The sequence below is a fragment of the Homo sapiens genome, chromosome X (assembly GCF_000001405.40).
Source record: "Homo sapiens chromosome X, GRCh38.p14 Primary Assembly".
In the NCBI taxonomy this organism is placed as follows: Eukaryota; Metazoa; Chordata; class Mammalia; order Primates; family Hominidae; genus Homo; species Homo sapiens.
Genome location: NC_000023.11, coordinates 36,383,446 through 36,410,969, shown reverse-complemented (window position 1 = coordinate 36,410,969; position 27,524 = coordinate 36,383,446). Strand labels below are relative to the sequence as shown.

The window sequence follows — 27,524 nt, the reverse complement described above, 5'->3', positions numbered from 1 at the left end:
AGAATAGCCAAAACAGTCTTGAAAAATAAAAAAGTTGAAGGCCTAACATTTTCTGATATCAAAACATACTACAAAACAACAGTAATCAAGATGGTGTGGTACTGGCCTAAAGACAAATGTATATAAACCACTGGAACATAATACAGAGCCCAGAAAAATATCTTGCATATTTGTCCAAATAATTGTTGACAAGAATGCCAAGACTACACAGTGGAGAAAAGACAGTCTCTTCAACAAGTGGTGAAGGAAAATCTGGATATCCACAGGCAAAAAAAATGAAGTTACACCCTTACGTTACACCATATACAAAAATTAACTCAAACAGAAAAAATAAAATGATAAAAACCAGAGGGATAAAGTTACGGTATAGAATCTTTATTAATTTTCTTTTGCTTGTTTGTTTCTTTGTTTGGGCAAAGTGTTAAGTTGTTATCAGATAAAAATAATGGGTTATAAGGTAGTATTTGCAATCCTCATGGTAACCTCAAATGAAAAATCGTGCAATGGATACACAAAAAATAAAAAGTAAGGAAATAAATCATATCACCAGAGAAAATCATCTTCATTAAAGGATGGCAAGAAGGAAAGAAAGAAGTAAGAGAAGACCACAAAACAACCAGAAAACAAATAAGAAAATGGCAGCAGTAAGTACTTACTTATCAAAAATAATATTGAATTTAAATAGACTTAACACTCCAATCAAAAGATATACATCGACTGAATGGATTAAAAAGAAACAAGTCCCATTGATCTGTTTCTTACAGGAAACACACCTCACTTGTAAATACACACATAGACTGAAAATAAAGTGATAAAAAAAAGATCTTACATGCCAACGGAAACCAAAAAGAGCAAGATTTCCTATACTTATGTCAGACAAAATAGATTTCAAGACAAAAACTATAAGAAGAGATAAAACAAGGTCGTTATATATTGACAGAGGGGTCAGTTCAGCAAGAGGCTATAACAATTATATGTATATATTTGTTATGTCCTCTGTCTCTCTCTATATATAGGTGTGTGTGTGTGTGTGTGTGTGTGTGTGTGTGTGTATACACCCAACACTGGAGCACCCAGATATATACATAAAGCAAATATTATTAGAGCTAAAGAGAGATATAGACCCCAAAACAATCATAGTTGGAGACTTCACCACACCACTTCCGGCATTGGATACATCTTTTGTACAGAAAATCAACAAAGAAACATGAGACTTAATCTGCAGTATAGACCAAAATGGATCTAATAGATATTTACAGATCATTTTATGCAACAACTATAGAATACACATTATTTCCCTCAGCATATGAATTATTCCCAAGGATAGACCATATGTTAGGTCACAAAACAAATCATAAAACATTCAAAAAAGTAAAGTAATATCTAGCATCTTCTCTAAGCACAATGAAATAAAATTAGAAATTAATAACAAGAGGAATTTTGGAACTATAAAAATACATGGAAATTAAACGATATGCTCCTGAATGACCAGTGGGTTAATGAAGAAATTAAGAAGTAAATTGAAAAATTTCTTGAAACAAATGATAATGGAAACACAACATACCAAACCTATGAGATATAGCAAAAACAGTACTAATAGGGAGTTTATAACTGTAAGTGAGTACATCAAAAAGAGAAAAAATTCAAATAAACTATGCATCTTAAAGAACTAGACAAGCAAGAGCAAATCAAGCCCAAAATTAGTAGAAGAAAAACATACTAAAGATCAGAAGCATAAATTAATAAAATTGAAATGAAGAAAACGGTACAAAGGGTTATTAAAACAAAAGGTTGTTTTTTGAAAGGTTAAACAAAATTGACATACCATTAGCCAGACTAGGAAAAAAAATCAAAATAAATAAAATCAGATGTGAAGAAGGAGACATTACAACTTATACTACAGAAATTCAAAGGATCATTAATGGTGATATGGGCAACTCTTTGCCAATTAATTGAAAAACCTAGAAGAAATGGACAAATGCTGAGACACATAAAACTTACCAAGATTTAACCAGAAAGAAATCCAAAATGTGAGCAGAACAATAACAAGTAATAAGATCAGAGCCTTAATAAAACAATCTTCCAGTAAAGAAAAGCCCAGGAACTGACGGCTTCACTGCTGAATTCTATGCAACATTTAACAAAGAAGTCATACCAATTCTACTCAAACTTTTCAGAAAAATAGAGAATGGAATGCGTCCAAACTGATTCTAAAAGGCCAAAGTCACATCAAAAAAGAGACCAGACAAAGTCACATCAAAAAAGAAAACTACAGGTCAATATCTCTGATGGATATTGATGGAAAAATACTAAAGAAAATTGCCAAAAGATTTCTGTTCTTAGGTCTCCCATTTTCTTCAACTTTGGCTAGGAAAAAAGACATTCTTCTTTTGTCTGTGCTTGTCGGCATTTCTGGGATATGTGAAGTTGATTAAAAAAATGGGTTTTATTGACTGAATTGTGGCCTCCCCAATTTTATGCATTGAAGCCCTAACCTCCAATGTGACCATATTTGGAGGTAGGGCCCTTAAGGAGGTGACTGAGGTTAAATGAGGTCATAAGGCTTCATAAATGAAGCCCTAATCTTACATGACTAACGTTTTTATAATAAGAGGAATAGATATGAGAGTTTGCTCTCTCTCTCTCTTTTTACATGTATACAGAGAAAGTTCATGAGAAGGCGTTTCCAGTAGTAAGTCTGTACAGCTGTGCAGCACTCTCATTATTTCTTGCCTCCTCTGAAGAAAGAATTCGACTGAGGGGCATAAGGCAGAATAAGAGACTGTGGCAAGTTTTAGAGCAGGAGTGAACGTTTATTAAAAAGCTTTAGAGCAGGAATGAAAGGAAGTAAAGTACACTTGGAAGAGAGCCAAGTGGGCAACTTGAAAGATCAAGTGCGCGAGTTGACCTTTTGATTTGGAGTTTTATACATTGGCATGCTTCCAGGGTCTTGTGTTACTTCTCAGATTTCTCCCCTAGGGTGGGCTGTCCGCATGCACGGTGGCCTGCCAGCACTTGAGAGGGGCCGCATGTGCAGTGTGTTTGCCAAAATTGTGCATATGCTCACTTGAGACATTCTTCCCGTACCAGTCCTAATGTTTCTAGAAGGTTGTATACCAATTAAACCTCACCATTTTGCCTCTTAGTGTGCATGCTTGAGCCCACTGGCCCAACTCCTGAGATCTTATCTGGAAGTTGCTGATCACCAGTTTCAGGTTTTTTCTATCTATTGGGAGACGGCCTTTCCTTAGTGCCAGCTGGGACCAATTATTATTTTAGAGAAACAGTGTAGCAACCACCTGACCATCACATGATGGTCCCCTGACATTCCTGATGGGGGTGGCAGGGATCCCTCTCCTGCCCTGCTCATGCCTGACTAGCTGCCTACTGTAACAGACACAGTACAAAGGTAGCCATGTGCAAGCCAAGGAGAGACGCCTCAGGAGAAATCAACCCTACTGGCACCTTGATCATGTACTTCCAATCTTCAGTTCTTTGAGAAAATAAATTTATGTTGTTTAAGCTACCTAGTAGGTGGTATTTTGTTGTGACACCCTAAGCTAACTAATATACCAGGGAATTCATTGCCATATTGTTCTTCAAGTCACAAGGTCCCTAGGCAACCCACCTTCTTTCCATGTTTCAGAGTCTTCTCATGATTTTGTGTTGTATTATATCCAGAGTTTAAGTTGTAAGAGGGAGAACCTGGAAGGACAGGGGGGTCTTCTCAGTCTTGGTTGGAACTGAAAGTCTCTTACCACCTTGTTTGAGTGCAAACAATTAAGGGTCACCAGGAAGAGTAGGGAGTAACTTTATTATGTAAAACCTTTCTAAATTATATGGGTCAAATAAAGCAGGCTGAACATAGATACGTGTCAGCATTAGATGTCTACCTTTACTGTGACACCCTCCCTGCTTTTCAATCTATATCTATAACCTCAGCTGAATGTGAGTAAAGTAAGCATCAAATTCTGTCCACACTTCATTGCTCTTATCTCTTTTAATTTATTCTCTAAATAATAATGTCCACCTAGAGACCTTGACCAGCTGAAACACCTGAATTGTTTCATCTTGGCTAGTGTATGCATCCAGGGAGATTCAACTTGCTTTAAGAAACAAATAAACACCTGTCTTTACCTTTGCTATAAATCTCCATAAATAGAGCATTGCAAGCCTCTTGCTTGCTCCATGTGCAGAATTATTCCAGCTTATTGCTGTCATTTCTTCAAGGATTAGTAAATAACAACAATGTTTTGGGTTTTAAAAAATCAGGTATCTTTGTTATCCACAAGACACTTTAAATCTGCACCAATAGACCATTTGGGATGGAAGGGACTTCCTGTGGCTTTTTATTGAGGATGGACCCCTTTTTCTTAGCCCTACGCATTACATTCCCTGAACGTAGAGGGCCCAGAAGCATTACAACTTCCTGATCTCCCATTTAATTGCTCTTTAATAGTGACTGAAAGGAGTAAGCAGTGCCAGAAGCATTATCAGAATCTACAGGGTTACATGGGATGACAATAAAGGAAGTTCTTGCTTGCCTTCTCATAGTTTAATCACATCTGATAAGAAAATGAGCTCCCAGTTTCTTATGTTTCTGAATGAGGCCTTTGCTCACACTCCTCCAGGTCCAACGTGCTTGACTGTCCTCATTATGTTGCTAATATTTGTAAGTGTTCAGCCGCAGAAAGGTCCTGCCAATTGATGGTAGAAATCTGTAGAAAGGATTCTTAATCTCTTCCCCTCACTTCGTATTCTCTCTGTTCTCTCTAAACATAATTCAGAGTGGCCAAAATTTCATGACACTGTAAACTTTTTAACATCTTGTGTTGAACCAGAGGAGTGTGGCAGACTTACTTACACAAACTCCTGACAAGTATTAGTGCTTAAAAGTACTTTGCAAATACTTTTTAGGTTCATAAGTTGCTATTTATAAATAGTTATAGTTAAGAACCTAAGTGTTAGTTCTCAAATGAGTTACAGTTATAGAAAATATAAGTCCCCATTCTGCATCAAACAAAAACACACAATTACAACAACACAAGCAAATCACCCCAAGTCATCTAGGCTTAATAGTAAAATCAGTGACTATTGTAATAAGAAACCTGAAACACTTTCTATTTGTAAAGGAAAATTTACATTTCAAATTGTATGTGGAGATGAAAATTCATACTCTCCCAGCTACATACAAAGAACCTATTAATTAAAGCCACAACTGGTTTAATTGTTAGCCCTTTGTGTAGTCAACAAAGCTCCCAATTCATATAATTTACCAAATTCTAGATAGTAGTTTCTCAGAGATCATACTTCCTTACCTAATTTGTGTGTTTCAGGGTCATCCTAGAAGGCTAAGGTAGAAAAAGCCCAGGAAGTTATATGATCCAGACCTCATTTGGAGATGAGAGAACTGATATTCAGAGAAAGTATGTGGCTTGTCCAAGGTTGCCAAACCAATTGATCCTGAACTAAAATTCAGATCCCTTAACTTCCAGAATAATATTTTTGTTTCATCAGTGGTTCCCATTATTTAGTCTTGCATCCAAATCACCTGGAGGGCATGTTAAAAAAATAAATTGCTGAAACCCACCCTCAAAGTTTCTGATCTAGTTGATTTGGGATGGTACCCAATAATTTGCATTTTATACCAGATCCCATATAGCTGTTGATGCTGCTGGTCTCAGGGACACCTCTTTGAGAAATACTGCATTGCAATGTTTTCCTCCTATGACTTATAGTATTTTAATTTAAAGTGCTTCTTTTTGAATTTTACATTTTGGAAAATTTTGAAAATAAACAAAAGTGGACAGAAGTATACAAGGAATCCTCACAGAAACATATCAAGCACCAACAACCATCCAACAATGGTCAATCTAAAAACTTCTAAATTTACCACCTTATTTTTATTTTTTGCACTTTCTTTGGGAAGACAAGAACTCTCATAAGTTGCAAAAGTTTAGTATAAACAACATTTTGTATTATTACCTTAGTCTGTTTCAATTTGCAGTTATTTAACATATACTATCTTTAAAACTCAATGAAAAGGTGGAGACAGTGGAAACTGGCTTCCATATTACAATGAGGGAAATGGAGATTCAGATCATTGTTAAGTTACTTACTCAAGACTCAAACTGAAGTCTGACTCCAAAGTTTGTCTTATCAGGCAAATGCTTCAATAAACTTCAAATATGTCCGATTTTAAGACAAAAGCAACTTAGCTCCATTTATTTCTGTGTATGTAGTCAGTAATGGTGACACAGCTATAGCACTTGTAGACAAATGTTAAATGATTGGTAGCCCAGGAATATTCAGATCAGTGGACTGGAGATGGCTGCATTTGCAGCCAAACTCCCAATATGATTAGTTGTTATAAGAATTTAAGACACCACCATCTGACTCCAATATTTACGCCAGAGTGTGAGGTTATTCTTTCTTCTAAGACCTGAGACTCACTGGAATTCTGCCTTTTGCCTTCAGAAAAATGTATAATCTTTGTCATTTATGAGCCTCCAACAAATTATGAGGCTTAATGAACTATCAAGAGCTTTTTGGATGAGTATTTATTTATAGTAGCATGTGTCTCTACATAGTTTTATGTTATGCACATTCATATTCATATACATCATAAGTAATTTGTGCATAATTATGATTCAGTGTGCAGACCAAATTATAAAACACCCATGTGTGGCAAATAAAATGCCACTGATCATATCTTATAAAATCTTAATATAACTTCTTAATCCTTGTACTATTCTAACAGTTACCACTTTTGAGATGTAACTAATTTCATTAATGTTATCACATGTGATATGGTTTGGCTCTGTGTCCCTGCCTAAATCTCATCTGGAATTGTAATCCCCATGTGTTCAGGGTGGGACCTGGTGGGAAGTGATTTGATCATGGGTGCAGCTTCCCCCATGCTGTTCTCGTAATAGTGAATGAGTTCTCATGAGAGATCATGGTTTTTAAAGGGTTTGGCAGTTCCCCCTTCACTCTATAAATCTCTCCTGCCACCATCTAAGACGTGCCTTGCTTCCACTTTGCCTTCCACCATGATTGTAAGTTTCCTGAGGCCTCCCCAATCATATGGAACTGTTAGTCAATTAAACCTCTTTCCTTTATAAATTACCCAGTCTCAGGTGATATTTTTTATAACAGTGTGAAAATAGACTAATAAAATATGCCTCCCTGATGGTTTGTGACAGACAGCCTGCTCTGTATTTTTGATGATTAGCAGAGAACAAAAAGCAAAAGATCAGAGAAGCTCTGTTGAGCTAAAGCTTGGCAGTTACAGTACTTTCTTACCACTGATGTTTGGCTTTCTTATGTGATTCTGATTTCTTCTCTTCAAGTTTGGAATAATAGTGAATGGTTTTGGGGAATTTTGTGAAATGACAACTGTTTTTACCTAATATGTATGAAAAAAATAAAAACATTTAATTTCTACCTTTTAAAATTAAACTAGTTCACTTCCAATTCAGATTGCTAACTAGTGTAGGAAAAGGTGTTCAACATCTTAAGTCATCAGGAAATGCAAGTTTAAACTTCAGTGAGGTATCAGTAGGCCACTTCCAGAATAGCTAAAATTAAAAGGACTGAGAATACCACGTGCTGAGATGAGTTCTTGCTGTTATAAAGTAACTGGAACTTTTACACATTGTTGATTGGTGGTTAGATTGGTAAGACGATTTTGGAAAAATTTGTACTAGCAAATGATAAAGCCAAAAACAAATACTCTAGCATCCAGAAAATGTACCCTCAGCTATATATATAATAGAAATGCGTACACATATGCACCAAAAAACATGAACAAGAATTTTTTCTTGGGAGCTTTATATATAATGACAAAAATCCTGGAACAACACAGAGGTCCATCCACACATGAAAGGATAAATATACCTAATATGTACATATAATGGGAAATAACTCAGAAATAAAAAGGAATTGAAAACTGATATATTCAAAAATGTGAATGAATCTCACAGACAAAATATTGGGTGAAAGAAAGCCAAACAGAAAAGAGAACAAATTATGATTTCATTTCTAAGAAGTCCAAAACAACCAAAACAATTTCATAGTGATAGCATTTGAAATTGTTGCTACTTTCTGGGGAATATTAAACAGGCACAAACAAGCTATCTAGATAGGGGGATAAATTCTACATCTTGATCTGGTACATATGTAAAAATTCTTTGAGCTTTATATTTGAGACTTGTTTACTTACTAAAATATTTTTAATAGATGTGAAATTATTTATCCAATAGTGTAAAAGATCCTATTTGATACTTCGGGACTGATGATTTCCACATATTCTTTCTGAGTCACCAAGTCATATTTCTGGATCATCTATCTGCATAGGCAATAGAACTTATATGCTGCATTCAGGAGCAAGTGATGCTGAAATGTAGATTTGGTATCATAATTTTCTATTCCTAAATGTAGATGTTAACAACTTAAAAACAATTTACAGCCTGCATATACCTATGTAGCCACCACAATTTACACAACTTCTTGTAAGCTATTGTTTAAATAACTACTACAGGTATCCATTCTTGGAGGACTGTGATATGAGTCTAAGTGAAGAGTGTTATTTTAAATATTTATCTTTTTTGAAATTCATAAAAATACATTATAAATGTCACGTTTTTCTTATACATATCTTATTTTCAAATTTACCGTATTATTCTTTCAAAAAATGATAAATCATATGCATACCTGTAAGAAAAGCACAGCCCCATTTCCAAACCATGCTTCAGATGGAACTATTTTCTTCTTAGTTTGAACTGTCTTACAAAGGCATACAAAACAGGAAGGTGCTCTAGATGCTGAGGAAAACTGAGACATGAAGACATCTGCCTAGAGGGCCAGGCATGGTGGCTCATGTCTGCAGTTCCAATGCTTTGGGAGGCCAAGGTGGGAGGATCACTTAAGGCCAGGAGTTTGAAATGAGCCTGGGCCAAATAGCAAGAACTCATCTCAAAATAAATAAATAAATAAATAAATAAATAAATAAATAAATAAGTGTAGTGGCATGTGCGTATGGTCTTAGCTACTTGAGAGACTGTAGTCTTAGCTGGGAGACTGAGGCAGGAGAATTGCTTGAGCCCAAGAGTTTGAGGCTGCAGTGAGCTATAATCATGCCACTGCACTCCAGCCTGCGAGATAGAATGAGACCGTGTCTCAATTTTTTAAAAGAAGAAAAAAAATATCTGCTTAAGTGCTATGTTTTGCTTCTGTTAAAGTTTTGCATGGGCCTCTGTGAGTGGTTGTCCTAGATATAAAATCACGTAGGGATTCCCAGGGATGAAGCTAAAGTCATAGTTTTTTTTTTGTCTCTGAAAAGCTCATAATGCTCTTTCAGCACTGCTTTTCTGATCTTTGAAATGGAGCAAACCCTTGTTCCCTGGGGATTATTTTTACATGAAAGATATTCTTAAATACCATTTTTATTTTGAGCAGTGTCTGTCCCTTAAATAGTAGACTTGACATATTATTAAATGTGTCAACTCTCCCAGTTAAAAGATCTTGTTACAAGTCAGGTGCTACTCTCAATATTCCCATGACTGAAACAAGGATAATATGGAAGAAGGTGTTTTATGCCCGTAGAAGTGGTAAGAGCCCCACCATGAATTGGATTTCCTTTACATGAGTCTCTTATGAATCAGCAGATTTATCCAGTTGCTTAAAAAGCAGTTAATACTCCATTAGTGACACACTGTGATCTGTGTCAGCAATATAAGCTATTCTTCAGTCATTTATTTTATTGTAATATGTTATTGCAGAAAAATGCAATTATTGAGTATCTAAGACACAAATAAATACTGAGATAAAACTGGGACATTTTCTTACAGAATTATAGACATAATGTTTGAATCTTCATTTAATCAAAGCATTTGGCTGTTTTATTTTGGTCAGTAAGTTTACAATAAGGAGAGATGAAATGATTTTTTTAAAGAATTTGAAATTTAACTTATATTTACAAAATTTATAGCAATAATTTAAGTATCAATTGCCTGAAGCTATTGAATGAAAAAGATAGGAAATGATTGTTGGGATTTCTCAAGCCTGTATTTGGGGCAAGAGCACTACCAGACAAAAAGAGAGGCCTGGTCTCAAATGCTGGGGAGTCTTTGTGAGATCAGAGCATTCAGAAGCTCATCACTTCACAGTTCCATTCACCTTGACTGCATTGGGCTTAACTTTATGCCCCTAAATTTTAGAATTTCTCTTATGCATTCAGAGGACAGAGGCAAATAGCAGAAAAATTCAAAAGGTGTCTGTCAGGCTGGGCACTGTGGCTCACACCTGTAATCCCAGCACTTTGGGAGGCCGAGGTGGGCAGATCACCTGAGGTCAGGAGTTTGAGACCAGCCTGGCCAACGTGGTGAAACCCCGTCTCTACTAAGAAAAATACAAAAATTAGCTGGGTGTGATGGCACATGCCTGTAATCCCAGCTACTTGGGAGGCTGAGGCAGGAGAATTGCTTGAACCCGGCAGGCAGAGGTTGCAGTGAGCTGAGATCATGCCACTGCACTCAAGCCTGGGCGACAGAGCAAAACTCCATCTCAAAAAAAAAAAAAAAAAAAAGAAAAGAAAAGAAAAGAAAAAGTTGTCTGTGAATCACATTGAAAATTGATTTACCATAGAATGGGATTGATAGGTGAATAGCTCTGCACTCCTTTTGACTTTTGAAATAAATGGATGACAAAGATACTGGTGGAAATGAAAGCAGGCATGCTATTTTTTTTTCTCTGAATTAAATAAATGTAAAGATGGATTTCCTTTTCTGTAAAGATGGAGTAGATAAACTTTTTTCTATTCCTCCCACTTAGTATAACTAAAATAACTTCTAAGTTATTTAAGTGTATAACTGAAATATGGAGAAAAGGGAATAAAGTAGATAAGAAGCTCTGAACTCAGGAAACAACACAGCGGTGAGTTTTCAAAAAAAAAAAAAGCCTTCCCTCTTTAGAAAAAAGACTAAGAAAAGGTCAGCATAGCAGAACGAACATTTAGACAATCTGCTATATTCCAACCAAACACTGTAAAATGTCATTGAGGGAGCCCTCCCCTTCACCTTCACCAATAAAGAACAAATGGAGGCTGAGAATTTGACATTCCCACTCACACTTGTCAGACTGTAATGAAGTGCCACGACCCCTCACTGAGGTGGTGTCAGAGAAGCACAAGTAGGGAGCAGGGATTTCACATTCATTCCTGCTCGGTGGTAATAAGGCTCTGTCCCACTCACAGTGACAGAGAAGACAACATGGAGGGCAGGATATCCACTTATACCCTGCAGTAATAAGACACTCCTGCCCTCCTAATTAGGGTGTATTCAAAGGAAGAATAGTGAAGAAACAGGATTTTCATCACCTCTTAACTGTGATGACACCCTCTTTGTGGTGTCACTGAAGGTCATGTGAGTAGCAATAACCAAGTACTTCTGCCTCCCAACAGAAAAGTGTCACTTAAGGTCAAGTGGAGAGCTCAAACTTCTACCCTACCCAGCAACAACAAGAGGCGCATCCACGTTGAATATCAAAGAGGCCAAGTGAAGAACCTGGACTTCTACTTCCACCTGGCTGTAAAACTGTGGTGTCTCCCTTTCCCTGTTGGACTGTTATTGTATGAAACCACCTAAAACAGAAAGTTTAAATAAGACACAGAGACTCATAACATGATATCTAAAATGTCCAGGTTTCAAATAAAAACAAAAGTATTCTTCATATCCCAAACCAAAAAGCCTTAATCTGAATGAAAAAAGTTGACCAATAGATCCCCACACCAGGATTGCAGAGGTGTTAGAGTGATCTGACAAGTATTTTAAAGCAGTTGCCTTCAACAAATGATAAAATAAAAGCTTCAACAAACATTATGAATATGTTTGAACCAAACAAAAATAAAAACTATCAGCAAAGATTGAATGTCCCAGCAAAGAAACAGGCAATATAAGAAAAAAAAAAAAAATCAATGAACTGGAAGATGGAACAATAGAAACTATCAAAACTGAGTAACAGTGAGAAAGTAGAATTACAAACAGACTTAGGAACCTTTTAATCCATATCAAAATATCTAGTATTAATGCCATCAGAGTTCTGGAAATAGCAGAGAAAAAAAAAAGGTAGGGCTGAAAATGTAATTATAAAAATAATTAATGAAAAATTCCAAAATTTGGCAAAAGATATACATCTATAGATTTGACAAGCTGAAAAAACCCAAACAAAAAAAGAAACACAAAAAATCCACACTTAACACACAGCAAGGTCAAACTAATGAAAATTGAAAACAAAAAATTTTCAAAGTAGCTACAGTAATGTGTGACATCTTACATAAAGAGTAAATATATAAGACCACAAACCTACAACTATCTGATCTTTGACAAATCTGACAAAAACAAGCAATGAGGACAGGATTCCCTATTCGATAAATGGTGCTGGGAAAACTGGCTAGCCATATGCAGAAGATTAAAACTGGACGTCTTCATTTCAACATATACAAAAATCAGATCTGGATGAATTAAAGACTTAAATGTAAAACTCAAAACTATAAAAACCTTAGAAGACAACCTAGGCGATACCATTCAGGACATAGGCACAGGTAAAGATTTCATGACAAAGACAGCAAAAGCAGTTGCAACAAAAGCAAAAATTGACTAATGAGATCTAATTAAATTAAGATCTGCACAGCAAAAGAAACTCTCAACAGAGTAAACAGATAACCTACAGAGTGGGAGAAAATTTTTGCAATGGATTTATCTGACAAAGGTCTAATATCCAGAATCTACAAGGAATCTTAGCAAATTTACAAAACAAACAAACAAACCCAACCCCATTAAAAAGTGGGCAAAAGACATGAACAGATACTTCTGAAAAGAAAACATACATGGGGTGAACAATCATATGAAAAGCTCACATCACTTATCATTAGAGAAATGCAAATCAAAACCACAATGAGATACCATTGCACACCAGTCAGAATGGCTATTATTAAAAAGTCAAAAAATAACAGATGCTGCTGAGGTTACAGAGAAAAAGAAATGTTTATACACTGTTGACGTGAGTGTAAATTAGTTCAACCATTTTGGAAGACAGTGAGGTGATTCTTCACAGATCTAAAGACAGAGATACCATTCGACTCAGCAATCTCATTACTGGGTATATACCCAAAGGACTATAAATCATTCTGTTGTGAAGACACATGCACACGTGTGTTCACTGCAGCACTATTCACAATAGCAAAGCCATAAAATCGACCTAAATGCCCATCAATGGTAGACTGGATAAAGAAAATGTGGTCCATACACACCATGGAATACTATGTAACCATAAAAATGAATGAGACCATGGTCTTTGCAGGGACATGGATGGAGTTGGAGGTCATTATCCTTAGCAAACTAATGCAGAAACAGAAAAACAAATACTGAATGTTCTCACTTATAAGTGGGAGCTAAATGATGAGAACACATGGACACACAGAGGGAAACAAGACACACTGGGGCCTATCAAAGGGTGGAGTGTGGGAGGAGGGAGAGGATGTGGAATAATAACTAATGGGTACTAGGCTTAATATCTGGGTGATGAAATAATCTGTACAACAACCCTCCATGACGCAACTTCACCTATATAGGAAACCTGCACATGTACTCCTGAACTTAAAATAAAAGTTAAATAAAAAAGAAAATATCTGCAAACTAAACTCTATGTATATCTGACAAATAAATACTATCTACAATGTATTAGAATTTTTTAAGACTCAGCAGTACCCAATAATGACAAAGCAATCTGACTATAAAATGAGACATAAACATAAATATACATTTCATGGAATAGGAATTGTATAGAGCAATTAACCTATTAAAACATATTCAACATTATCAGCCATTTTGGAAATGCAATTTAAATCACAATGAGGTATTATTATACACGTATCAGGATGGCTAAGATTAAAAATATTGAAAAGACCAAATTTTTTAAAAATTCAATTTAATTTTAAGTTCCAGGGTACATGTGCAGGAGGTACAGGTTTGTTATATAGGTAAACATGTGCCATGGTGATTTGCTGCACCTATCAATCCATCACGTAGGTATTAAGCCCCGTGTGCATTAAGTATTTATCCTGATGCTCTCTGTCCCCTTGCCCCCTGACAGGCTGCAGTGTGTGTTGTTCCCCTCCCTGTGTCCAGTTGTTCTCATCATTCAGCTCCCACTTAAAAGTGAGAACATGTGGTGTCTGGTTTTCTGTTCCTGTGTTAGTTTGCTGAGGTAAGCTCCATCCATGTCCCTGCAAAGGACATGATCTTGTTCCTTTTTATGGCTGCATAGTATTCCATGGTGTATATGTACCACATTTTCTTTATCCAGTCTATCATCTAGAAAAACCCATCATCTCAGCCCCAAATCTCCTTAAGCTGATAAGCAACTTCAGCAAAGTCTCAGGATTCAAAATCAATGTGCAAAAATCACAAGCATTCCTATACACAAACAACAGAAAAGCAGAGAGCCAAATCATGAATGAGCTCCCATTCGCAATTGCTACAAAGATAATAAAATACCTAGGAATATAGCTAACAAAGGAAGTGAAGGACCTCTTCAAGGAGAATTTCAAACCACTGCTAAAGGAAATAAGAGAGGACACAAACAAATGGAAAAACATCCCGTGCTCATGAATAGGAAGAATCAATATCATGAAAATGGCCATACTGCCCAAAGTAATTTATAGATTCAATGTTATTCCCATTAAACTACCATTGACATCCTTCCCAGAATTAGAAGAAAACTACCTTAAAGTTCATATGGAACCAAAAAAGGGCCGGTATAGAAAGACGATCCTAAGCAAAAAAGAATGAAGCTGGAGGCATCACACTACCAGACTTCAAACTATATGACAGGGGTACAGTAACCAACAAAAAAAACAAAATGAAAACAGACACACAGACCAATGGAACAGAATAAAGACCTCAGAAATAAGACCAAACATCTACAACCATCTGATCATCGACAAACCTGACAAAAACAAGCAATGAGGAAAGGATTCTCTATTTAATAAATGGTGCTGGGAAAACTGGCTAGCCATGTGCAGAAAATAGAAACTGGACCCTTTCCTTATACCTTATATAAAAATTAACTCAAGAAGGACTAAAGACTTAAATGTAAAACCTAAAACTATAAAAACCCTAGAAGAAAATCTTGGAGTACCATTCAGGACATAGGCATGGGCAAAGATTTCATCACAAAAAAATCAAAAGCAATTGCAACAAAAGCCAAAATTGACAAACGGCATCTAATTAAACTGTGGAGCATCTGCACAGCAAAAGTAACTATCATCAGAGTGATGAGACAACCTACATAACTGGAGAATATTTTTGCAATCTATCCACCTGACAAAGGTCTAATATCCAGAATCTACACGGAACTTAAACAAATTTACAAGTAAACGACAAACAAACCCATTAAATGTGGGCAAAGGACATGAACAGACCAAATGCTTTTGAAGATGTGGAGAAACTGGATTTTACATACATTATTGGTGGGAATGGGGAGCAGCAAAACCACTCTGAAAACAATATGTCAGTTTTTAATAAAACTAAACATGCAACTGCCATATGACTCAGCAACTGCACTCTTGGGCATTCATCCCTAATAAATAAAGTACGTGTTCACACAAAAATCTGTACATGAAAGTTCATGGCAAATTTACTTTTTAGTAGCCAAAAAATGTGAACAATGTAGATATCTTTTAATAGTTAAATGGCTAAACATATTATGTTAGCCATGTGAATATTACAAAGATTCATGCTACGGAATACTACTCTGTGATATAAAGGAACATATTATTTAGGTACAACAACCTGGTTAAATCTCCAGAGAATTATGCTGAATGAAAAAATCCAATCCCTAAATGGAACATACTGGATGATCCCACTTATGTAATATTTTTGAAATGACAAAATTATAGAAATGGAGAACATACAAGTGGCTGCCAGGGGTAAAATAGGGGATTGGGATGGCATGGGAAGGAGCTTGGGTACAAAAGGACAATATTAAAGGAGCCTGGTAATGGCACTGTTGTGTATTTTGAGTATATATATCCATGTCAATATCTTTTTGGGCTATTATACTATAGTTTTGCAATATATTACTATTGGGGTAACTGGGTAAAGGATATATGAGATGTCACTTTTTTATCTTTACAACTGCATGTAAATTTAAAATTTTAATTTAAGAAAGAATATTAAAAACAAGTTTTTAAGTATAACTACTTCAAATTTCTGCCTAGGGGCTTTCTTTCACACATGTGTCAGTTAATGCCCTAAGAAAGTTAATTCTACTAGGGAGCAGTTCTTAGCAACAACTGTGACCAGAAAAACAAGAATGTGTAATTCTAAACCTCTCTTGGATGAAGATACTATGAATCTTTATTAAAAGTTATTTGACCCAGTTGGAAAGAATATGCAGAAATTGGAGCCCTTACACATCACTGGTGCTAATGTAAAATGGTGCAGGTGCTACAGAAAAGAGTATGGCAATTTCAAAAAATTAAAAATAGAGTTACCATATGACCCAGTAATTCACTTCAGGATATATATCCAAGAAATTGAAATCAAAGACTCAAAAAGATATTGGTATATCCATGTTCATAGCAGCATTATTTATAACAGCCAAAAGGAGGAAGCAACTTAAGTGTTCATCGATGGATGAATGCATAAACAAAATGTGGCATATACATACAGTGGAATATTACTCAGCATAAAAAGAAATTTAATCCCAACACATACTACAACATGAAAGAACCTTGAAGATATTATGCTAAGTGAAATAAGCCAGTCACAAAAGGACAAACACTGTATGCTTCCACTTACTGCCCAGGGGCTTTCTTTCACACATGTGTGCATTAATAGTGTGAGTACCTAGACTAGTCAAAATCATAGAGACAGAAAATAATATGGTGTTTGCCTGGGGCTGTGGAATGGAGAAAGAGGGAATTATTGTTCACTGGGTACAGAGTTTCAGCTTGGAAAGATAAAAAAAGATAGATAATAGTGGAGATATTATATAGTGGATAGATAATAGTGGAGATAGATAATAGTGATGGTTGCACAGCAATGCGAATGCACTTAATGCTACTGAACTGTGCACTTAAAAATGGTTAAAGGGTAAATTTTATGCTTTGTATATTTCACCATAATAAAAAAAAATGTTAAAATGAAAATGTACTTGACTCAGATATAATAAGGTGCCTCATAGTATTTTTTTCTCTATATATCTGGTAATATACTTCATCTTCCTCACTCCAACTTGGTCTGACTTTGGTAAAATGTGGAGGCTGTCAACCTCCTATGTTTTTTTATCCATATACCAGTATTCTTGTGCATCCTCTTTAAACGGGTCTAGAAGGAAATTCATTTGCTAAGTTCATTCAGAGTATATTTAAGTGTGAAGGATAAACTTATAAAACTCAGGTATAATCCGTGAAACCCAAGGATAGGCAATACGGACAGACATCCCCAGAATATGAACAAGCCATTAGAATGTCATTAGTAAACAAACATCTCCAATTTGTCTCTCTATGTATATTTGCCTTATTTCTCTATCTGAAGTCAGGAATTATTGATGCTTTTCTTGCTGCATACAGTGCTACCTCTCAGCCCCCAAACTTACCTGAGTAGGTGAGACCAAATAGCTTCTTCAGTTCCAAAGAGAAATGCCTAGAAAGAGAATGTAATGATTTTTTTTTCTAGGTCAATTCCATGCCCCTCATTCAATTAACTATGGGATCATGTGGGAGAATAAACATGGATATTGAGGATGAGTCCAGTGAACTGAGCGTTTCATCAGCTACTACTAGTACCTCCTCCATACTTTCTTAATATTCACTGTCTAGTACCTGACAACCTTGTCTAAGGCAAATTTCTGCCTGAAGGCTTTCTTTTACCCATGTGTAAGTTAATGTCCTAAGAAGGTTAGTGCCTTTTGAAATGACAAATGGGAATTAGAGGATAAATACTAGATCCGACATTCCCCTGGAAAAGGAAGGGGATAACTCTCAGGTATATATTGTTCCGGATTTCAGATGTCTCCAGTAGAAGTGAGCCCCAGTTGCCCATAGTACTAACCTTGTAATAGCATACCCTTTTCTGGCTTTATCCTCATTTGCATTTCAATTTCTAAATCCCCTAATGGTGCTTCCTTTGGTCAACTTCCAAGTAAACTATAATACCTCAAATTCCCATCTAAGGTTTTATGGCCTTCATTCAGTGCTGGCATGATGGAGGGAAACAGAAGAGGCCAATAATTGATAAAGATAAGAGACGTAAGCAAAAGCCATAAGAAAGCGGTGTCCACAGTGGACACCGCTGAGTCAGTGCACAGAAAGTAAATATGGCTTGAACACTGGAGGAAGACCTGATCTGTGCAGAACAAGAAAGAAGAATTGTTCCAGCATAGGGCTCAAAGTCTTCAACCAAATCATGGAGTAAAATAATTAAGAGGCAAGCCAAGTGAAATTCATCACTTTGGAATCTTAGCAGATTGAAACGTAAAGGGAGAGGGACCCTGCTGGATGTCTGGATACAGAGGATTCCCCACCTATGGTCAATGACTTGAAGCATACTAAGGATATTTCTCAGCTGAGGTCCAGTAGAGTGAATTAATCGATACATACATTCTTAGTTCACTTGAATAAAAATGTTAATCTGTCTATGCAGACTTTATAATATGGCAAACATGGTAAAACCATATAATATGGTATAATATGGTAAAATATACAGTCTATGTCTCAATTTAGATTAATGTAGTGCTTCTTATAAGAGGAAATGATTGTTTCCTTGTAGGTATAATTTTTAAAGATAAGACCTTCAGCTTAAAGCTCAATAAAACACAACATTTTAGGGCTTAAAAACAGAGTACTTCAGACCTTCACTCAGGTACATGTTAATGTACAAGCAAAGATATAAAGATTCAACAACCTGATATTCAGTGTAAATTTTTTCACTCTTGCAGAAAAGGGTATAAAAATTACTTAACCAACACTAAAATGTAGACACTGAGGCTCTTCTCAGTGATAGCTGATGAGGAGGAACCATTCCAATATCCTTAACTAGTTGATTGAATTGCAGTTTTAGATAACTCTTTAAATGCTAAGCACCTCTTGAAACAGAGCAGAAAGAACTTTAGTAATTGATTATCATCTATATTTTTAAATTACTGGATACTCCATAGTCATTTTTACTTCAAAGTGGTTGGATTTCCTTTATGAATTACACTGAAAATCACTAATGGAATGTGAGTTAAAAATGAACCCAGGGACACCAGCAAAAATGGCATGCTCTTTTTCTTCTTTGATGTAACCCCTTCTGCTCTACAAATTTGGCAAAGATGGATACAGTATAAAAATAAATAATCAAAGAGACTTGACAAGATAAACATTTTCATAGACCAGAGACAAAAATAGAAGGCTGAAGTGGTTAACGGAGCTGAAGTACCATATTCCAAAGCAGGCAATAGAAGCTACAACTTCATCTCCTAGGGGGTGGGAAGGACTACAGATCTGTGTAAAATGGAGAAATAAAGTTGGCCTCACTGCTTAAATCCAGGAGCTTATGATTAATAAAATTAGAGTGAAAATATACTGACAACTGGTGCCTGAGGCTACAATTTTTGTGGGGTTTCCAGGCAATATAAGCCTGAGGATACTGGCAGAGCCTCAGGACAGCCCTGTCCTGAGGCTCACTAACCAGTCTTGTAAATGCTTCATATCCCTACCAGGGAGGAGGCACAACCCTTGATCATAAAATAGCCTCATAACTTCTTGTCAGGGAGGAGGGAGCCAAGGGAATTAAAGAAAAATAAAGCAATGCAAAGCAAAAAATACGTTCCCCTCAAATAAGCCTGTGATCCACAATTCTAAAATGCATGAAGAAATCTAAAGCTAAGAAATACAACCAACGTTCTAAGTGTTCTTGCCATGAAAAATAAGTGTTTGAGAAAATGTATGTTAATTAGCTCAATGTAGCTGTTTTACAATGTATACATATTTCAAAACAACATGTTGTGCAGGATAAATATATAAAAATTTTGTCAATTAAAAAATAAGTTAGCTTTTAAAAGTAAAAATACAACCAACTAAATACAGGACAGGAATTGCTTCTTGATGATGTTAATTGTATGAAATAATTTGACAAATTTGACAAATATTTTATAATAAATTTGCTCTATTCACAGCAATCTAGGCTTTTTCTATCCTGGTCCTCCAAATTCTTCCAGCCTTGTCTTACTACATTGGTGTTGTAATAAAGAAATACCTGAGGCTGGGTATTTATTTATTAGTGTTTTGGCTCATGGTTCTGCTGACTGTACAAAAGTCATGACACCAGCATCTGCTTCTGGTGAGGCTTTTAAGCACTTCGACTCATGGTGAAAGGTAAAGGAGAGCCAACACATGCAGATCACATGGGAAGAGAGGAAGTGAGAGAGAGAGGGAAGGCAGGTGCCAGCTTCTTTTTAACAAGAAGTTCTCATGAGAACTAATAGAGAGTGAATTCACTCGTTACCACAAGGACTGCATGAAGCCATTCATGAGGCATCTGCCCCATGACCTAAACACCTCCCATTAGGCACCCATCCCCAATATTGAGATCAGATTTCAACATTTGGAGAGTCAAATATCCAAAGCATAGCATTCTGCCCCTGAAACCCTAAATCTCATCTGTTTCTCACATACAAAATACAATCATTTCATCTCAGTGGTCTCCAATGGTCCCCAAAAGTCTTAACATGCTCCAGCATCAATTCAAAATTCCGAAGTCCAAAGTCCTAAGACTCAAGGAAAGTTCCTTACAGCTATGAGCCTGTAAAATCAAAATCATATTGTTTACTTCCAAGATATGATTCTAAAAGGGAGAAATAGGCCAAAGGAAACTGGAAACAGGTCCCACATAAGTTGAAACCCAGAAAGATAGGCATTAAATCTTAAAGCTCTAAAATAACCACCATTAACACCATATCCTACATCTTGGGCACACTGGTATAAGGAGTGGGCTCCCAAGGCCAGAGGCAGCCCCTCCCTTTGCTGGGTGCAGTCCATGTGGCTGCTAACATTAGTAGGAGTTGAATGCCTATCGCTTTTCCAGGCTGGGGTTGCGTGCTACTGGTGGCTCTATAATTCTTGGGTCTGAAGGGGAGAAGACCTGCTTCCGAGGGTCTACTAGGTACTGTCTTAGGAGAGGCTTTCTGTGAAGTTTGTTCCTGTGTCAGGCTTCTGCCTGGGCACTCAAACTATCTGATACATCCTCTGAAATCTAGGCAGAAGTTGCCACGCACATTCAATCCATGGCTTCCCCTTAACCTTTTATTCCCAGTGGGTAATTATTCCACATCGTCCAGTCTTTTCTCCAAGACCTATGCCTTGCTGTGGTTGGCTCAGTGAGGACAGCACCCTTGACTGGAGTACTCCCACCTCAGGAGGAAGATCCACACATATCTCTTTCTAACTAGTTTCTTCTCAGTGTATACCACCTCTTTTTCATTTCTATGCTTGTTGCTAATTCGAAAGTTTTCATTTTTCTGGGTTGTTTTTATGCCTTGCTTCTCTTACTCAATATTTTTTCTTAATGTGTGAACCTTGGAATCATCTGGAGCATGTGTTAAAACATACATTCTTGGATCTCACTTCAAAAATACTGAATCAGAATGAGAGAATGTGAATATTATAAATCTGCATTTTGTAATCAACTCAGATAATTATAATGCATACTAAAGTTTGAGAACTACTGTTTTTTTAATAAACTTTGTCTAAGCCTTGCCTTGTACAGATTGGTTTTTGACAAATAATTAACCAATGAGTCATAAAATTTACGTCAAAATCAAATTCCTGTTCTAAGTTCCATGTAAGTGTATCTGTCTGTTAACTGGTCATTTCAATACAAATGCCATATCTTTACCTAAAAATAGCATATTCAAATTTGAGCTCATCTTCTTACATTTTTATTTCATGTCGTCCCTGAACTAAGAATGTGAGTCACCTTAAGGTCAACTGTTCTCACTTACATTCGTTCCCACCTTTTTCGTCACCCCCTATACTATTTTTCTGAGCTTCAGCCACTTCTTCCTACTCTTGAGACTGGCCATGTTTTCACATGTTCCTCCTCCAAATTCAAGTTGTTTCTTCTTGTTACTCCTCTTCTATACTTGGAAGACTCCAATTTGAAGCCTTTTCTCTCTCCTCTGCCAGATTTCTACCTCTAGGCTTCCACACCAAGCTCTCAATGACAGCACTTTCCACAAGTATGGGAACTACCAGCTCATACCTGCTTTCTTTACCATTCAAGAAGCACTGTCAAGAAAGTTTTGATCAGGATTCTTTTCTCTTTTTATCTTAGGATGGAGTACAGAAACTAGTTCTGAGCGGTACTCAACATCTGTTTCCTAATAAAAGGCATAAACCCATGAGTAAATTGATAAGTATTTAATCCGGGTTCAGAGATTATACAATCATCTTTCAAATTTGCATATGTATTTTGTGTAAGTACAATGTCAGATTTATGTGGAACTTTCAGATTCCCCCCCAAAAAATCTCATCTTCCCTTCTTTTTTTTTTGAGATGGAGTCTTTCTCTGTTGCCCACTCTGGAGTGGAGTACAGTGGCATGATCTCGGCTCACTACAACCTCTGCCTCCCGGGTTCGAGGGATTCTCCTGCCTCAGCCTCCTGAGTAGCTGGGATTATAGGCTCCTGCCACCATGCCCAGCTAATGTTTTTTGTATTTTTAATAGAGACAGGGTTTCGCCATGTTGGCCAGGCTGGTCTTGAACTCTTGACCTTAGGTGATCCACCCACCTCTGTCTCCCAAAGTGCTGGGATTACAGGTGTGGGCCACTGCGCCTGGCCTATCTTGCATTCTTCAGAGAATTCACATACTAAGGGGCAATTCGTGATCCTCAAATAAGAAACTCCAAGTAAAACATCTTAGAGTTTTTTATTTCCAGACTGCATTTTTAATATGAAACTATGAATATCGACATAACATAGCATGTTCTTTGTTCTCTAAGAATTAGGGAAGAATTTTGAGGCTATTAGGACATTGTTAGATCTCTTTATAATCACTCTATGTTTCCCACGTAACTGCTTTCATCTCTGAATTGGTTTGATGCCATTTAAGAGCCATTGATATTCACTAGTGCTGGACTAAGAAATATCTGGAAGTACACAATGCAAGTTTACTCTCACTGAATCCTTTCCCAATGCCTTTGTACTATTAGAATAAAATAAAATAAAACAAAACTGGTCTTTCTTGCAGAATTTTAAGAGGTCTTATTGATTTTGCCCTAAAAGTTACCATAAGAGCTATAATCATAACTGTGTAAAGATGGACATTCTGAAAAAAAGCTTTTACAAGAAATTGAAAATGAAAAAGACTGCCAAAGGAAAAGTTTAATCTTCTGATCTAATTTCAAACCTTTTGAATGTAAAATAGTCCACAAATTGATGGGGCAGGAGAGGGGAGAGTTTGACACTATGACCTTGCCCCTTATGTCTTCTTGATAGCTTAAATAAAAAGAATAAATATCACCTTGAATAGCATGTACTTCTAATCTCTTCTTGTGAAGAAAGCAATCCAGGATCATCTTCTAAGTCCAATGGAAGATTCCATATTTTTGGAATTGTGGTATTCATTCAATTATTCTTTCCTTTACTGCCAGAATTATCAACTTGAACTTGGCCAAATTGTCCCACATCATTCGTTCCAATGGGCTGCTTCGGAATTCAAGAATAACTTGTTCATATTAGCTTTATAAAAGAGCAAAGAAGTAAAAGAAAGTGTTTTGAACATGTAGCAACAGTGTAGGGATTGTTTATTCATCCTCTCAAGACTCTTAGTTATACATGTGATAAAGTCACTTTTAGAACATATACATAAACACCAATTAACTTACCTAAATTTCCTGTGCTCTCTTCAATGCAACATGACTGAAAATTCATCATCTATTATCTATATAATAATCATTTATTTTGTGTATTTATAGAAGGGTTCATTAGTGTTAGATAAAAATGGAACTACCACCAGGGATCATAAGAGCAAGCAGAATGTATTCCTATCTTGGCAAGAGTGAGCTGGGAAGATGACTCAAGACACAAGTTCACAGGGTATCACCAAGTTAGAAGAAGAAAGACCGGATACAGTAAAAAAAAAGAGTGAGTTTTTCCCAAATCCATGGATGTTAAATCCATGGAATATGGACTTCCACTCCCCTCTTTCTCAATTGCTACAGACAATACAAATTAATCCCAAAGATACGTTTCCAAACATTTTCTGTAAAGAGATAGAGAATAAACAGTTTAAGCTTTGCAGCCATGTGGTTTCTGTCTACTCAACTTTGCTGTTGTAGTGCAAAGCAATTACAGACAATATATAAGGAAGTGATTGTGCTGTACTCCAGTAAAACTTTATTTATAGGCAGTGAAATTTGAATGTTATATAATGTTCTTGTGTCACACAATATTCTTCTATTTATTTTTTCAACCATTTAACAATGTAAAAATTGTTCCTAGCTAATGTGCTATATAAAAATAGATGGCAGTCTACATTCATCCCATGGACCATAGTATGCCAACCTCTGTCCTAGTATAGTCCCTTCATTTTGGAAACAAGAAAATAGGGTAAAAAAGGGTAAGCAACTTGCTTAAGAATACATGAATGTTTTGTGGCAGAGCCAGTTTGTGTCAAAATATCTTAAAGCTGGTCCATACTGGCTTCCCTTTAATGATAAGTACCAAGCAACATACTCCCCTTTACTTTGATTAATACATTACTGAAAAGGATCAGACACACATCGAAATGAACTTTCTCCTGGATCCTTTTGAGATATACCTATATTATTTAAATGCTGCAATATAGAAGTAGATGAACTACATACACATATCTACATGGAATTTTTAATTAATTACTTTTTAAATAGCACATAATATTCCAAATAGAAGATATACGATATAAGCATATATTTTATAAAGCAGATATAAGAAATGGTCAATCCTTCTGTCTTCAGTGCTAATTTAATCATTAATGTTTTAAAGACTCACAAGCAACATCTACATGGGAAATTGAGCTTTAATAGCAATACTAGTATTTGAAATATATACACAATGAGATACCGTTCAGCCTTTAAAAAGAAGGAAATCCTGCCATTTGTGACAACATGGATGAACCTGGAAGATATGACATTAAGTAAAACAAGCCAGGCACAGAAAAACAAATACTGCATGATCTCACTTATATGTGAAATCTAAAAATAGTGAACTCATACAAGAGTACAATGCTAATTACCAGGAGCTGGGTAGGGGGAATCAGGATGATAGGGAGATGCTGGTCAAAGTATACAAAATTTCAGTTAGATAGGAGGAATAAGAAGTTCAAGAGATCTGCTGTACAACATGGTGGTGATAGTTAATAACAATGTATTATATAGTTGAAAATGGCTAAGAAAGTATATTTTAAGTGTTCTTACTACAAAAAATAAGTATGTAAGGCAATGCATGTATTAATTAGCTCAGGCTAACCATGCTGCAATGTATGCATATTTCAAAATATGTTGTATACCATAAATATATACAATGTTTAGTTGTCAATTAAAACATAAAGACTAACAAGGAATATCTACATGAGACATTTAGCTTTATTAGCAACGCTGTTATTGGAAATACTGTTGTCATTTAAATTATATTTCGTTTTACCACAAATATACACCTGCACTTTAAAAGTGAACCAATTCCAATGTTCGCAACCAAAAAACATTCATAACTCACAAATGAAGTATAATATATTCAGAGAACAGATTGAATTTTAAAAGACAAGGAAATATAGAAGGCCTATTATAATTAAACCATTATTCCTCAGAAATATTCCAAAAGATGAAATAATAGTCATCAAAGTTCTACCTGAGACCAAGAAATATTTTGGAAAAAAATTTTATTGATTCTTCACCAAAGGAGCACCCTTGATGGTGGAAGACACCCCTGTTCTTATGAGTTTAGTATTTTCACGGACAAAATTATGTGGACGGACTGGCATGTTGTCATGTGTCTTGTGAGTAGCATCAATTTTGGCTTTTGCATTTTTTGGTGGCACGGTAGTTGGAGTTAATCCATTGATCTCATACTTCCAGTACATTTCTTCTGTCTGGATAGAAAGAGGGAGAAATTTTCATTTGAAATATCCAGGGACTTCAAAACATGTAGGGAAAAGTTCACTATAATTAACATCTTCTGTTCTCCATGTAGAGTATGGAAAAGGTACAAAACTGAAACCACTTAGAGTGACAATTAATGTGGAAAATAAAGAAAGTATTTCACTTTATGAATTAAGAATTATTTACTAAAAAATCTCTCAGAGATTCTCCCTGTAAACTACGCATCCATCTGATAATAAGGGAAAGCAATCTATTTGGCTTGCATAAGACTGTTGTACAGTATGAACGCCAACTAATGGAAATAGTACCTTCCAAGATAAACACATTCATGAGAATTTAAGTGTAACCATAGAAATGACTGGTAAAATATATTTAGCTGCTTTGAAGATTATGAAAGTACATAGCATGTATAACTATTTATTTATTTATTTTTATTTTTTATTTTTTAGACAGGGTCTCACTCTGTCACCCAGGCTGGAGTGCAGTGGCACGATCTTGGCTCACTGCAATCTCCACCTCCCGGGTTCAAGCAATTCTTGTGTCTCAGCCTCCCCAGTAGCTGGATTTACATGCATGTGCCACGACACCCGGCTAATTTTTGTATTTTTAGTAGAGACGGGGTATCTCCACATTGGCCAGGCTGGTCTCAAAATCCTGACCTCAGATCATCCACCCTCCTTGGCCTCCCAAAGTGCTCAGATTACAGGCTTGAGCCACCGCACCCAGCCCATAGTACGTATAACCATTTTAATATACCACAAATGATGTAGGATCATTGCTGACAATCACCATCTAAATCCAAGTGAGTAGAATTTACACAGTGATTTATTTAAACATTCTTCATTTCTTCTGCATATATGTTTATGTTTATACTGAAGTCTCATTCCTTGTGCAGAACTTCCTGAAACCACCTGTGTTTATACTGGTGTCCTCCTAACATTAAGATTTACACCACGTATACTCAGAAAACTCATTCAGAATAGGTCCAGACAAAGTGAATATTGCAACGCTCTGAGCTTTATATGTAGTGTGATACCTGTCAATTAATATTAAGTGCAAGAATGTCTTGCACAACAATACAAGAATGTATTGCACAACAATACATTCTTAATAGCCTCATCCTAATCATATCTGGACCATTTATCTAGTGTTTGTAATAATTATGTATTCAGAATCAGTGTGTCAAAAGTGGACCAAACCAAGGAGCATAATACGACTGGGTAAAAAAAAATTTTACTTCGTATAAGGATGTTTAATTTGAAAAACAAAGCTATATTTTAGTGATTGTGCATATACATATATTTTCCAGTACATTGACCCACTTGATGGGTAAAAATGAGT

The 27,524-nt window shown here is 36.1% G+C and overlaps 1 protein-coding gene and 1 long non-coding RNA gene across 2 annotated transcripts in view; one reads left to right on the top strand and one right to left on the bottom strand.

Annotated features, from left to right (window-relative positions):
- LOC101928627 (uncharacterized) overlaps nucleotides 1–27,524 on the top strand; it is a 74,667-nt gene that overhangs the window by 29,323 nt on the left and 17,820 nt on the right. The gene's annotated exons all lie outside the window — the stretch shown is intronic.
- Nucleotides 25,653–27,524, bottom strand: part of CFAP47 (cilia and flagella associated protein 47) — a 465,584-nt gene continuing 463,712 nt past the window's right edge. Inside the window, exon 64 of the mRNA NM_001304548.2 lies at nucleotides 25,653–26,173. Within this exon, the coding sequence (NP_001291477.1) occupies nucleotides 25,964–26,173 (210 nt within the window). The 3' untranslated portion in view covers nucleotides 25,653–25,963. The remainder of the gene's footprint in view (nucleotides 26,174–27,524) is intronic.